Raw genomic sequence first — 14,838 nt, forward strand, 5'->3', positions numbered from 1 at the left:
AGTTATCACAAGTTATCTGTTTTTCTCCTCTGAGATTCTTTCCATAGTGCCTTAATTTTTTGGAGGAAAGGTATTGCAAGGGGGTAAAAACCACACAAACAGATAAACAGACAATTGGCTTGATAGATCTACCTTTAGTTTTGTCATTTTCCAGTATTCACAATCCTTTCAAAGTTTCCTTTAAAGGGGAAAAAACAGAGGCTTGTAAGAAATATGCTCAAAGAGGTTCTAGGACTTACAGACATCCCATTCCAGTATAAGATACAAAAGGCAAAATGTTTCCTTTACCCATGATCCAGGCTAGCTCCAAGAATCCTAAAAACGATGTTTTAATTTGGAATCTGGGATGGGGCGTTTTGTGGATTAACATGTGTTCTGACACAAGGACTACTCTACTTCCTTAAGAAACATGAGCAAAAATGCTTTGCTCAACAACCTAGTTATGTATGTACAAATGGTGATCATGGTCCTTACTGATAAAAAACTTATAAGCAATTTCTGTTACAAAATCGATCTTGCTAACAGGTCTTGGTGTATAAGTTAGGATTATCATTTTCATTTTCAGGTGTCAGAAATGGAAGTGCAGAAAAGCTAGGTTTCAGGGTGACATTACTTAACTGAGGTAGAGGCAAGATGAGAAGCTGTCAGTCATTGGGAATATCTGATTTGTCAGTCTTCACTGCTATTGTAGACTGGCAGAACCTATTTCAAAGTATTTCTGCAATGAGCGTAGAGGAGAGAACTTGGGACCCGCCTTGGGGATTTTGATGGGGAAATGTGACCACGGTTCTGTGAATCCAGATTTTAAGTTCGCATCCATTGGCTGAATTGATGATATAAAAAACATCATCAGTCGTTCCAACACCCACCTTCAAAATCAGAATGTTTAGAGTCTAAAAAACGCTGCCTTTCAGCATTTTTTTTGTACTGAATAAACAAGCACTATTCTTAAGAATAAGGGGTAAGGGTTTTACTCTCAGATTTGCTTCTCTTATGGAGTGATATCGTACAAGCTAATTGGATTCTCTCAGCCTCACTTTCCTCATGTGTAAAATGACAATAATTCTCCTAATTCATAGGGGGTTGGTGAGACTAAACTGAAATGAATGCAAGAAAGCACTTATTAAGAATATAATTCAGGGACTTGGGCTCTTGTACAATAAATAAATCAGGTCAAAATAATGCAACCTCCTTAGAAGATCATATCCCATATCTCTGAATTAAAAAACAAATTATTGCTGGAACAGTTGGTGTTATCTCTTGGAAAACAAGTTAAGCAGCTTAAATATATTAAATCAGGCACCGTCTCAGTGACAAACAAACTATAAGAATGGACTTGTTTTTATGAGCTCTGAATACAAATTGGCATCTGATCAAATGGCATCTCAAGGATTATACATCTAAGACCTCTATATATTGCTTTATAAAAGGGTTGAAGTAGATAACGTGTGCATCTGTTACAGTAAGTACTCCAGAGAGAAGCACAAATGATACTCCATTTCCCAAATTACTCCTTACTTCAATCACATTTCTGCAGGCCAAGGAGTGTGCCTCAATAATTGGGGATTCAGACAGCTATGCCTTCTTGATTTATTTTTTGTTGTTGTTGTTCACAGCATTTTGTTGATGGGATTTGGAACACTGTCGTATTTCAAAGCTACAAAGCAATATTCATCAAATAAAGCCAATAATCAGCTATACCAAATTAAATGTCCCAAAACTATAACTTTTTCTTTTTAGGAAAGCTGCCGTTATCAGAATGCATGGAGTGCAAGGCACAAAAGCCTTGCTGTGATTCGTTGAAACTTCCTATAGAAAACCCACCAATTTCTTCACCTCCTGGCACACAGTGTATGCTAATTCTTTGGCTTTTGCTGATCCAATTTGTAAAACCTTCTCTAAATGGTCCTTGTCCAGCTTCAGTTTTTCAATTTCACGCTTAATTGGGGCAAACTTCTCAATCACAGCATCTGCCACGGCCAGCTTGTAGCGAGCAGTGTTCATGCCCGCGCTGCGGCGCACCACTTCCTCCACGGAGAGCCCCGTCACCGCGGCATGCACCGCCACTATGTTGGACACGCCAGCGCGGCCAGCCGGGTCATAGGTGACCTCCGAGGTGAAGTCTGTCACAGCCTTGCGGAATTTCTGCACTATCTCCTCTGGGCTGTCTGTTATTCGGACGGTGGCCAGTTTGTCAGGGTCTGATTTCGACATTTTGGCAGAAGGATCACGTAGGGATTTTACCTTCTTCATGGATGCTAGGTTAAAAACACCAACACACACATACCCAAAACAAAAACAAAACAAACAGATCACCAAGATGTACACACAGACAGTTCCCAACTTGCAATGGTTTGAATTATGATTTTTCAACTTTACAGTGGTGCAAATGTGATATCCATTCAGTAGAAACTGTACTTGAAATACCCACACAACCATTCTGTTTTTCACTTTCAGTATAGTATTCAATAAATTACATGAGATATTCAATACTTTATTATAAAATAGGCTTTGTGTTAGATGATTCTGCCCAATTATAGACTAATGTAAGTGTTCTGAGCACGCTGAAGGTGGGCTAGGCTAAGCTGTGATGTTCAGTAGGTTATGTGTGTTAAATGCATTTTTGATTAACAGTGTTTCCAACTTACAATGGCTTTATCAGGATGTAACCCAATTATAAGTCAAGAAGCATCTGTTCATACTTCATAAATTATATACTACTTTATAAATATTATTTTAAATTTTTGGTCTCTTCCATACTTTTAAAATATTTTTAGTTATCCTTTTCAATAATCCAACATCTTTTTCAGGAATCCAACGTAGTCTACTTTCTAGTCCTACACTAGAGAAAACAATGAGGACTCTAGTTACAGATCCTGAAGCCTGTCTACAAGAAAGCTGAGGTTAGTCCCAAGAAAGTTCCAAGCCTATCTATTGTCCAATCCTCTCTTTAGAATATACCCTGATGTAACAATTATAAGTTTCTTACTTACTGAGAATGGACTCGGGCACTGGAAAGAACTCCCCATACTTCTTGTTGAAACCTTGTGCTAGATCCTGAACTAGTTCCATGTGCTGGACTTGATCCTCCCCAACAGGAACGTGTGTGGACCTTTAATAAAAGACAGACAGAAAAACAACAGCAAGGCTCTTTCTTAGAGACAGAAATGATATTGCAAGCAGCTGCATTTCCTGTGAATATTTCACTGTTGGTATTCAACAAATGTTCACCAACTATAGAGGGAATGTTTAGACCTAAGTCTTTATCTATGGATCAGACAAAAGCCAAAGAGATGTTTCTCTACTCTAGTTGTGTTTTTTCCACAGCAGGGGAATACAGCCATCAACACCAGCATGACAGGATCTTGCTGGGAGGGAGGAATGGGATTTTAAATAGCATATGCTCTAGGCACAATTGTGTTTTAAAACTACTCCTCATTCCCTCACCCAGTCAGCACATATTATTCCCAGCCCTGACCAGATGCTCTTTACCTCAGAACTACAGCTCATACTTGAAAGACACCCCACCCCACTCTTCAAATCAAAGGCAGCAGAAAGTTCTTCAGGCAAGAGTTTTTCCTCCCTGTCACATAGGGAGTAATTCAATATTCTTTGGAGTAAGCTTCATTTTCAAGTACATTGCAATCACAGGACAATTAATATGTTGCAGAGAACTTAAAATCTATAAGTACAATGTAGATGGCTATCAAAAACTATGTGGGATGAAAAAAGCAAGTTGGAGAAAACATGAAATACACTGACATTTACGTAAATTTTACAAGTGCCTATGGAAATATATCTGTAATAATAAGTAAAAAAACATACTGGAAGCTCCTCCCCAAATTTGTAATTGTAGCTGCTTCTAGAGAAGGTGGAAAGGAAATAGATCTGAAGAAAAGAACAAAGGAGACTTGAATTTTATCTGTAATATTTCATATTATGAAGAAATGAAGATGTGAAACCAAAAATATCAGAATATAGGGAATGACTTCATCATGAGTTTAATCCCATATGTAAAGTTTGCAGTGTCAGATCATGACATAGTACATCAAATAAGGGAAGAATGAACCATTATAGAGAAGTCTTGATGAGGAAAATTTTATACTGAAGCAATATGGCGGGATTAAAAAACAGGCAATTTTATACATGCAATGCTTGGCTGGGAGTTTATACCTGATAATACAAGTAATACAGTGCGCTGAGGTTTTTTTAATCAAAGAAACAATATTGCTCCTGTGAAAAAAGCAGCGAGCCATCATAGGCAAGTTTCTTACCCTTTCTAAGCCTTCGTTTCCTCTGTAAAGTGAGGTTCATCATGGAGCTTACCTCATATAGCTCTTTCATGGATAACACGTATACTAATTGATAGTAAGAGCTCAATAAATGGTTGCTATTGATATAATATATAACTATATATTCATTAATATCTGACATGATGAAGGACAAATAAAGGTAAAATGAAGGACAAATGGTAAAATAAAGATACTATAGAGAACCTTGATGAGGGGTACACTGACTTTTTTCACACCAGATCATTTTCCTTTTTCAGAGCTGACATACCACAAATAGTAATGCATAATCCCAGAGATAGTCACAGACCTGGGCAGTGATCCTGATATGCATAGAAAACTTACTTGAAACTGACAGTTCACATATCTGATCAGGTAATCCCAAAATATAAATGGTATGTTACAGGAATTCTGAGAGCTCTTTTAATTTAAGGAAAACAAGAACAGAACAATCAATGGAAAGGCAAAATGTAAGGACCATGACAGCAGACCCAGAGTGGTTTCTCTTCTTCTAAGGTCAATAAGTGAATGTTGGCCAGGTGCATTGGCTCACGCTTGTAATGCAGCACTTTGGGAGGCCAAGGTGGGCGGGTCACCTGAGGTCGGGAGTTCGAGACTAGCCTGACCAACAAGGCGAAACCCGGTCCCTGTTAAAAATACATAATTAGCTGGGTGTGGTGGTGCATGCCTGTAATCCCAGGTACTCCGGAGGCTGAGGCAGAAGAATCTCTTGAACCCGGAGGCGGAGGTGGAGGCTGCGGTGAGCCAAGATTGCGCCATTGCACTCCAGCCTGGGAAATGAGTGAAACTCTGCCTCGAAAAATAAAAATAAAAATAAAAATAAATAAGTTAATGTGGGAAATTCTACAGAATAACTATTAGGGCCATAGCCATTGCTCTCTTCCACGCAGCCTGGAGTAGAAAGCCACTGGATCAGTGAGTGGCAAAAACAAAAATATTCCTTTTTATGTTTTCCTCAGCACTCATGGTCCTACATGATACTCCTCTCTGGGATGTACATGCAGACACCCCACCTTTGTAACTTTCTCTTCTTTGAGTGGACTTCGCTATACCTGTCTTGTAATTATAGTGAGGCTGACATGCAGAGGTCACCTTGACGCCCCCAAGCCAAATTAGCCAACAGAGCAGATTAGAAAGCAATTACAGTAGCCCATAGGAAATCACAATGGACTGCAACCAACACAGAAAAAACAATTACCATAATCAATACACTTTAAGCACATCAAAATGAATATTTCCACATGTCAAAATGGTTCCAGATTCACAAAGCAACCAAACTAAACAGAAAACACATTTAGTTTTCATAATGACTCTGCATGCATCTTTGCCTGATGTCGGATCCTTGCCTCTTTTTTAACAATTCTGTGGGGTTTTGCTTTTTAAAAACAAAAAGGATTTAAAAAATTTTAATCTTTTTCATCTGCCCCATTGCTCCACTTGGCTTTTTCATCTGATTTTAGTGTGTTTGTTTCTAGCCTTCCCTCCCTGTGCTCCTGCTGCTCCTTTCACCTCCTATAATTTATCTTAGCCTTTACTTCTCATCCATTGAGTTTACACTTTACATTAATTCATCTTGTCTTTGATTCTACTCACTTATGTGCCTTATTCTCTTCATATTTTCAGCCTTTCTCCTCAGTCTTTCTTTCACTTCAAATAATTTAGTGCTGTTCTTTAAAAATTTATACCCTGCATAATGATATCCCTTTTAATGTGTCTTCTCTTTTTTTCTGTTTTCCTTTTTTTTAAGTTACTCTGACTGTGCTTTCTTAGACACAACATAAAACAAAAGCCTTTCATAATTTTGATTGTTATAACTTCTGTCATATAATAATGCCTCTGATCTTCTCCTTTGGTGACTAAACCATTTTTCTTTTGCTTAGTTCCTTTTTGCATCTATGATACTTGAGATCACCCCACCCTTCTGGCAGAATTAGTGTCCAGATGAATAAACGTTGCCTACATATATCTGCTCACAGAGATTTGTTCTCTTATTATTTCTTTTTCTACTTTTTTGGCTGTGTTTGTAAGTTTTCAGTGCTGCTGCCTTTAACCAGCCCGGCTGGGACAGGAGTTTGGTGGTGTTTTCTTGTCATAAAGGATTAATTCCTCATGACTAGTTGCTTGTAGGATATGCAATAATGACTCTCTAATTCAGCAATTACTTATTGAAGACCCACGATGTGAAAGTCCTGGTGCTGGGTACTGTGAAAGATATAATGAAGGGTTTACTTTCTAAAGATTTAAGGCCACCAGGAGGAGAGATAATACCCAATGAAGCTTTAAATTCTTCTGGCCAGTCCTCCTTCAGCATCCCCTATCTCAGTGAATGGCAATGCTATCAATCCAGTTGGGTAAGTCAGAAATATCGGGTCATCCCTGACACCTCCCTCTCATACACATCCAGTCCTATCAGTTTTACTTCCTAAATGTTTCTTATATTTGTCTACTTTTCTGCATCTTCACTGTCATCATCATGGCCCATATTAGACTAGTGAAATAGCCTCTAAATAGATGGCCCCAGATATTCTTCTCTTCCTAAAACTCATTCTCTGTATTTTAATCAATTCTCTTTTAAAAGTATAAGTCATATCAAATTTGCTGTATCCTTAAAATGTACAAATAGCTTCCTGTTACTTTTTAGAGAGTGTACTGGATTATCTGTTGACATCTCAGCACCATTCTCTCCCTTCTATGCTACCTCTTGATTTTCAGGGGCTGCAGCCTGGAAACTACATTTTTCATACTGCCTTTCAGTAGGGTTCTGGTTTGGTGTAGGCATTTGCCTAATAGAGGTAAAGTGGAAAGAGAAAGATAAAAAATTATTGCTTAGGTAGAGTGGGTGAATATGTGGATATGAGCAGACTACAGAAATGAGTAGCTTCCTGCATCTCGGAAAAATCCAGGCTCAACCGGCCTCACAAAGAATGAAGCACTTCAAGAACTGGAAGTTTCCAAGGCAGCTATAGGAAATCCAGCATTCTTAGAAAAAGCTCTCAAATGCTGTTTTATGACAGTCTCAAAGAAAGAGAAATAATAATAATACAAAGCTCTCAAAAAGCTTATTTTCAATGGTCCTCAATGGCAGTAGCCTGATTCTTAGACATTATGATGACACCTCTTCTCTGACTCTACCAGTCTGAAGTTTCTGAGCAATCATTTTACTCTCTATACTTTCTGGGTTTTGGTTTGGTTTGGTTTCTGCCTGCAGTTTCTTGAGGCCTCTGTTTTCTCATTTTTCTATATCATTTTTGCTTTTGTTTTCAGTCTTCTTTTTGTTTTTATTTTTTGAGATAGAGTCTCACTCCGTCACCCAGGCTAGAGTGCAGTGGTGCACTCTCAGCTCACTGCGGCCTCCTCCTCCCGGATTCAGGCAATTCTTGTGCCTCAGCCTCCCGAGTAGCTGGGACTACAGGCACACACCACCACGCCCGGCTAATTTTTTGTATTTTAAGTAGAGACAAGGTTTCACCATTTTGGCCAGGCTGGTCTTGAACTCCTGAGCTCAGGTGATCTGCCTGCCTCGGCCTCCCAAAGTGCTGGGATTACAGGCGTGAGCCACTGTGCCCGTCAGTTTCCAGTCTTCTTATCCTCTTCCCAAATTTTTCAGATTCTTGAGAAAGATAATCTGATTAGCCCAGATACTCACTTTCATCTCTATCTGAATGAATTTAGTGGAATCTCTCTGAAACTTCATTTCCCCATCTGTAAAATGGGGATAATGCCACCCACTTATTTCATAGCCCTATTGTGAGAACTGAATAGATAATGAGTGTGTAGCAGTTAGTAGATGCCTGGCAAATAATTCTCAACACATGTCAAGTCCTTCCTTTCCTTTCCCTCAAGGCCATGTATAGTGCCCTTTTTCCGGATCAGTGGCATTGTAGGTACTTAGCAACTATTTGTTGTTGTTTAATAAAAATTATATATGTATGTGTGTGCCTTTATGTGTATGTGTGTGTGTATATATATATGTATACAACACATATATATAACACATATACATACACACAAACAGAGAGAGAGAAAAAGAGAGAGAGAGAGACATATACACAGAGAGAGAAAGGGGAGAAATAAACATTTACTTAATACATAGCCAGCTATTTGAAATTAGGCATTTGGAGAAATAATACAGATGCAAAATAAAAACTATGAACACTTGCTATTTTTGAGCATTGGAATATTTTGTCTGTATTCAAATTTCTTGTACTTATCATACTCTCAAGCTGAAGATGGTCTCAGCTGTCCATTCCAGGGTTCCTTACCAAGTTCTGCCAAAATAGTTACATAAATCTTTTATAAACTTATCTGAAAGGCTCCTCTTCCATTCCTTTCTATTATGTTTGTTTTCTGACCCACCATGCCACTCATTCTAATGATGATTTTGACAAAAGGAAACACTAATATTTGGCTTGCGTCAAAATTTTATGAAGAGGTCACACATAGATTTGCTGATAGGAAAAAAAAAACACAGATGTTTTATCCACCCTTCAATCTACCATTCTACCTGTCTACATTTATAATACAAATATTCATAGACATTCTGGCAATGACCTTTTTCAAAATCCAGAAATGTGTGGAACAAAGCAAAACAAAAACAAATAAAAATACCTTCAAGTGCTTCATCTCTGTTATAGGGAAAACAATGATATAGCTTAAAAATCAAACCTGAGTTTAAATCCTGACTCTGCTACTTATTATTGAGCAATTAGGAACTTCTAAACTTGAGAGAAAACATAATGAGACAAATACAAAATGTACATTAGCAGAAAAAGTGCTGTAGACCCATAGTCTTGCCCAGATGTTCCAAAGTCAACTGACTGGCTACTTAGCTTCAGGCAAGTTGTTAAACCACACTGGACTGAAGCTGTAAAGCAATGGAATTAAAGAAGAGGCTCCTTAAAGCTCCTTCCCATCCTTTGCTTCATGGTATCATTAAGAATGTAGTCATTCTTGTTAAAGTTTATGCTTTTCCATAGCCCTAAACTCAGAGGACTCTTCCATTACAGCTCTTGAACTATTAAGGAAACCTACCACGCTCATGTGTTTTCTTATTCTAGTGCTGACAATTCTCAGGTTTTGTTTTTTGTTTTTGTTTTTGGAGCCAAGGTTTCACTATTTTGCCCAGGCTGGGCTCAAGTGATCCTCCCGCCTCAGCCTTCCAAGTAGTTGGAACTTCAGGCATGCAACATCACACCTGGCTAGCCTTTGGTTCTATAAAGAAGTAGGCCTTGAAACAAAATTAGACAACATTGTAATTATCAAAGACATAGTCATCATTAGTCATAACCAAGTAACAGCTCCTAGTCACAGTACTGCCTGGCCTATATTTCATTTTAATCCTTTAATAATCCTGTGCTTAATAATTATTCCCGTTTTACAGGTGAGAAAGTCAAGTTTCTTCACAGAACCTTTACAAGCAAATATCCTACCTCTCTAGAAAATGTATTATTAAGACTTTCATTATACTTTCATTTGTTACTTATTGGAGAATATTGTTCTAGCCTTTTAAATAAGTCAAAAGCTACTTATTACAAATAATAAATGTTATCAAGAGTCCAGCATACAAGTTAATACAACAAACAGACAAATAAGCCTTGCAAGTTTTCATCAGAATTGAAGATAGGCTGCATGTACTCATGGACATTCCCTGTTTGTAGAGCTAAGCAGCTGCTCTTTTGGCCGTTTCCATCATAATTGCACAAGGGCTCTGGAGTCATGCCACGAGGTACAGATACTGTCATCTTCATGCTATTATCAGACTTCCATGCAAAGAATTGCAATTCACAGCTTTAGGGGAAAGGGATGCAAAAACACTGGTGCAGTGTCTTCTTTTCCCAGAAGCTTTCACAGTAGCATGGCCCTAAGCACATGCCAATTGGGAGGCTTTATCTCTAGAAGGCCAAATGGGGGTCAAGGGAGGCTGATGAGGGGTTTGCACGGAAGAATTGAGAGGGGGATGAAATCAGAAGCCCTGGCCAGTAGTACAGCGAGTGCAGGGATCAGCATCCTCAGGTGTATATTTTTGAGGACTTTAAGTGGCAGCAGTAGCTGACTGGATGGATTAGGGGTCCAGGAAAAGTACAGGTACCCTACATCATATTTTAAAAACTTGCTCTCAACCTGTAGGTCTAATACAGTGGTTATTTAAATTTAATTCAAATTAAATAGAATTTAAAGTTCAGTTCCTCTGTGGCACTAGCAACACTTCAGGTGCTCAATAGCCACACATGTGGCTACTGGCTACAGGATCTAGCACAGACATAGAAGATTTCCATAAACACAGAGCATTCTATTGGACAGCATTGCTTTAGAGTCTAGAATATATAAAAAATCAACATGTAAAATGCTTGAAGTTTAATCAGGCATTACTGGGGAAATATATATAGCTACTGGTTATGAGCACAGACTCTGTATCCAAACTTCCTGGACTCAAATCCTGGCTCCAAGCCTTGCTAATTACATGACTTTGGGCATGCTATTAACCACTCTGTCCCTCAATTTCTCCATCTGTAAAATCGGGACAATAAGAGTGCAAATTTTAGAAGGTTGTTGTAAGGGTTGATGTATATAAAGTACTTACAATGGTTTCCAACACATTGTAAGTGCTATTTAAATGTCAGCTCTTAATATTATTAGTTTCTCACAGAAACATACTTCTATAATGTAGTACATTATACATGTAGAAACATACTTCTATAATGTAGTATTTCTGGGGAATAGATATAAACTGATTCAGATGTCTGACGCTTTCTGCACTTCCCCTTGCCCATGAACCAAGTCTGTATTGAATAGGTTAAAACACTCTCTTGTCACCATGAGTATGTATAAGACTGGGCTGAACTCTCTTCTTACTTGTACAACAGAATGTCGGCTGCCTGGAGTACTGGGTATGTGAGCAGGCCCACCGTGCCATCGTGCTTCTGCTTGGTAGTCTTTGCCTGTGAGAGGTGAAAAGAGAGGAGGGGAAGAAATCTGAAATCTGACTTGAACCTAATTATACTGCTAGATTAAGAAAATTTTAAAACAAGCAAATTGTGATCTGAAGCCACCTGTAATAACATTATACATCGGTTCCTTTTTAGCAACTCTAGCCATCTTCTGGCTGGCTTGTCTTCATGCTCCAGGCTGAGGCAGGAATAAGGTGAGTGCATTTCATCACTGCCCCTTTAAGGGATCCTGCACTGCTACTATTTTTTATTTATTTTATTAAAGTAAGGATACAGGCATTTATTGGTTCCAAATCGGATAAATTCCAGATTTCACAGACAAGGCCACAAACCGTCATGAAATTAAATCTCTACAAATTAACATGAGTTAATATCAAAAGCCCTATTGTTTATACATGGAGACTTTCCAAAAAGTCTCACAGCATGCCACTGAGAAAACTGGAATGTTCCCTTAAAATCACATTTAAATAACAAAAAACAAAAAAGTCATGGCATTTAAAAAATAAAAGTAAGTGAGAGAAATATTCATCTAACCAATCCTAATGACCTGTCTTGATTCTTAGGTGATTAAGCATGCTGAAGCAGTGAGGGTCAAGTGACCCAATGAGCAGTACAGGTTGTATAGACCAAAACAGTTCCTTAATGGAGAAGTTGATGGAAACACCTGAGATGATGTTAGAAACATTTAATAACTGGGGGGGGCAATAGATGCTGATTATAAACTACTACTGTGTACTCACTAAACATGATCCTAATGATGCTAACTCCCTTGCTGTGGCTGCACATTGCTGACATGTCGTTTGATTCTCTGAGTAGAGCTACTTATTAGATGGCAATATTCTGTGCAGTTTCAAGGCCTAAGGTATAGCATCTCTTGTAAAATAAATGGATACTTTGGTGTGTAGACAAATCTTACTCATTGAGTTAATCTGAATCATTTCCCTCAAGTCTGATTATTTCCAAATGAACTGGGCAACTGAATTTATAAACTTGTTTTATTCCAGGGACCAAGCTCATGAGCTTACAAACTTGGGATACCCCTACCAAGGTGCAGACATATTTTTTAAGGCTCAGTCTGAAAATACAACAGCTTCTCTCCTTAGCCATCTTAATTTTGGTGTTTCATAATTTAGTTACAAACTTAACTTTTCTGAGTATACTTCAAGTGGTTTCTGGCTTATAGCAACCAATGCTCTAGGCCATTCAAAGGAAATTTCAATGTTTGAACATACAATTTCTTCACTACATCCCCTAATTACAAAGTTCATGATAAAGGCTAGTTCACAATTATCACCAGGTAAAGATAATGAAAGTTTAATTTGGAAACGTGCAAATTGAAGAAGAACCCAATTTTTAAAAGTTGCCATCACATTCAATTTATAGCCTTTTCGTATTAGCATAATGGACCTTGAAATTACAAGGGAGAGGGAAAATGTGGAGAGCATTAATATTTATTGAGTGCCTATTATGTGCTCCAGATGTTTTACATATATGTTACTCATTAATCCTCTAAATAACCCTGACCTCAGCAACCCTCACCCCACCCTTCTGTGCCACTATTCCACCTTTTGCTGTCCCAATGGAAACCAGGCTAGATGCCTTTATCAGATCCTCCTATAGCACTGGAATCCTGTACTCAGAGCACTTCTTACACTTTCTTATTACTTGTTTAATTGTCTTTTCCCAAACAGACTATAAGTCTCACGAAGGGGGTTACTTCTTATTGACTGCTATATCTCTAGCACCTATTATGACATAAGACTCACAGAAGATATCACTAGTATTTAATTAGTATTAATGAAGGAATCACCACAGAAGACAGTAACATATCTGAGGATAAGACTGGGATTTGAAATTCATGTATTTCCTACAAACAAGCAATTATATACTAATGGAAAGGCTTTTCCAGAATATCAGTACATGCACTAGTAATATACTAGCAGGAGATCTTTAGATGCTGTTTTAAAGTGGGAATAGTTCCTATTAGATTAGTATTCAGTTCCTATAAAAAGGATTTCAACATTACACTTAATGGTAGAATACTATGGTACAATGGGAAAGTATTGCCTAAAACCAAAATATGGCAGATAACATTATGAAACTTTGTTTCTAATTTGTGGCAAGTAATGAATCTGCAGCATTACTAGTACCATCTTATGTATTAAGTGTCTTAGTCCACTCAGGCTGCTATAACAAAATACCCAGCTAGGTGGCTTATAAACAACAGAAATTTATGTCTCATAGTTCTGGAGGCTGGGAAGTCCAAGATTAAGGCAAAGTCAGTGTCTGGTGAGGAACCTTGTTCATGGATAGTGACTTCTAGCTCTGTCCACAGATGCTGTCAGGAGCAAGCGGTGTCTCTAGGGCCTCTTTAACAAGAGCACTAATCTCACTCATGAGGGTCCCACCCTCAAGATCTAATCACCTCACAAAGGCCCTACCTCCTAATACCATCATCTTGGGAGTTAGGTTTCAACATATGAATTCTGAGGGAACACATTCAGACCATATCATTTAGGCACTGTCACTTTAAAGCTTTATCTATTTCTTTCTGTAGCATGTGTGAAGGCTTCTGAAGACCAGCTTTTGAGGAAACCAATGGCCCTGAAAATACCTCAAAAGAAGCTTGAAATTGAAATTAGTGTTGACGTAGTTGGGGGCTACCTACCCTGGGGTTATCCGACTGCAAAAATAAATGGAAGTAAAGTACTATGAATTATCCAATTTATCTTTCTTGGTTGAACTTCTTACAAAAAGTATAGCCCTAATTATTCTGTGAGTTTGAACTGTTGCCTGGACTCAACTTGTTTAAATGTTAAATAAAATATGTTGTCTCTTCTCTCCACAATGAAAACATTCTTTCCTTACTGCCAGTTAATTCCAGTGGAAATGGGAGGCAACCTCAGAGTCTAGTAATCTACAATCTGTGATTGTTTATTAACTATAATGTGGTTGTTCAAAGTCATTACCAAGTCTATCCAAAGGTAACTCTGATTCAACTGTACACAGATAAAAACAATGAACCTAATTTTTAAGTCAGGAGGAATCTTGGAAAATCCTTTTATTTTCCTTTTAATACCCTGAAGCAGGGAGGTTAAAGATGATGTTCCAACCATTAGTGAGTGGCAGACCAGGGAGGAGAGTAAACTCAGGATTCCCAGAGCCTAACAGGAAGGGAAAAATAGCTTCTTGTCTGTTTATTAATCAGATTACTGGCATTTACCTTCCACTGATGTAAATGTTGTAATCGAGGTAGTCTGACCATGCAGGAAAGGATCCAACTTAATTGTGTGTGTTCAGACACCTAAAGAAATAAAATAGAACATTAGTAAAGGTGGCCAGTGTTTTCTTGCATATAAGAAGAACTAAGTAGTAAGTATTACCCTAAATGTCTGAAAATACCCCAAATTAAGGTTATTATAAGAACAGGTGAAGGGGGCTTAGTTCTGATTCATGAAGCATAGACTCTTAGGTGAAGAAAAAAATCATACAAGCTAACTGATTTGGTTATTAATCTAGTGTTTAAGTCTACTCCACAATACCCCACCAGATTCTGCTTCAACATCTTCAGTGAGAAAGTT

At 38.1% G+C, this 14,838-nt stretch overlaps 1 protein-coding gene across 13 annotated transcripts in view, besides 1 other annotated feature; it reads right to left on the reverse strand.

Moving 5' to 3' along the window:
- WARS2 (tryptophanyl tRNA synthetase 2, mitochondrial) overlaps positions 115–14,838 on the reverse strand; it is a 109,457-nt gene continuing 94,733 nt past the window's right edge. For 9 of the 13 annotated variants that reach the window (NM_001378229.1, NM_001378228.1, NM_015836.4 and 6 more), the window contains 4 exons: positions 14,481–14,561; positions 11,163–11,248; positions 2,994–3,112; positions 115–2,258 (listed from right to left, as the gene is read on the reverse strand). In NM_001378229.1, coding sequence (NP_001365158.1) covers positions 1,810–2,258; positions 2,994–3,112; positions 11,163–11,248; positions 14,481–14,561 — 735 coding nt within the window. In that variant the 3' untranslated portion in view covers positions 115–1,809. Of the gene's footprint in view, positions 2,288–2,993; positions 3,113–11,162; positions 11,249–14,480; positions 14,562–14,838 lie in introns of all 13 variants that reach the window. The other 4 variants (XM_047429105.1, XM_017000038.2, NM_201263.2 and 1 more) reach the window with 3 other exon arrangements.
- Positions 11,427–11,928: an enhancer, noted in NCBI's record as "NANOG hESC enhancer chr1:119585151-119585652 (GRCh37/hg19 assembly coordinates)". NCBI's record gives its function as "activates a minimal SCP1, AML or CMV promoter by ChIP-STARR-seq in primed H9 embryonic stem cells {active_cell/tissue: H9 hESC(primed)}" and the evidence as "EXISTENCE:reporter gene assay evidence [ECO:0000049][PMID:30033119]".

Source organism: Homo sapiens, chromosome 1, assembly GCF_000001405.40.
Source record: "Homo sapiens chromosome 1, GRCh38.p14 Primary Assembly".
In the NCBI taxonomy this organism is placed as follows: domain Eukaryota; kingdom Metazoa; phylum Chordata; class Mammalia; order Primates; family Hominidae; genus Homo; species Homo sapiens.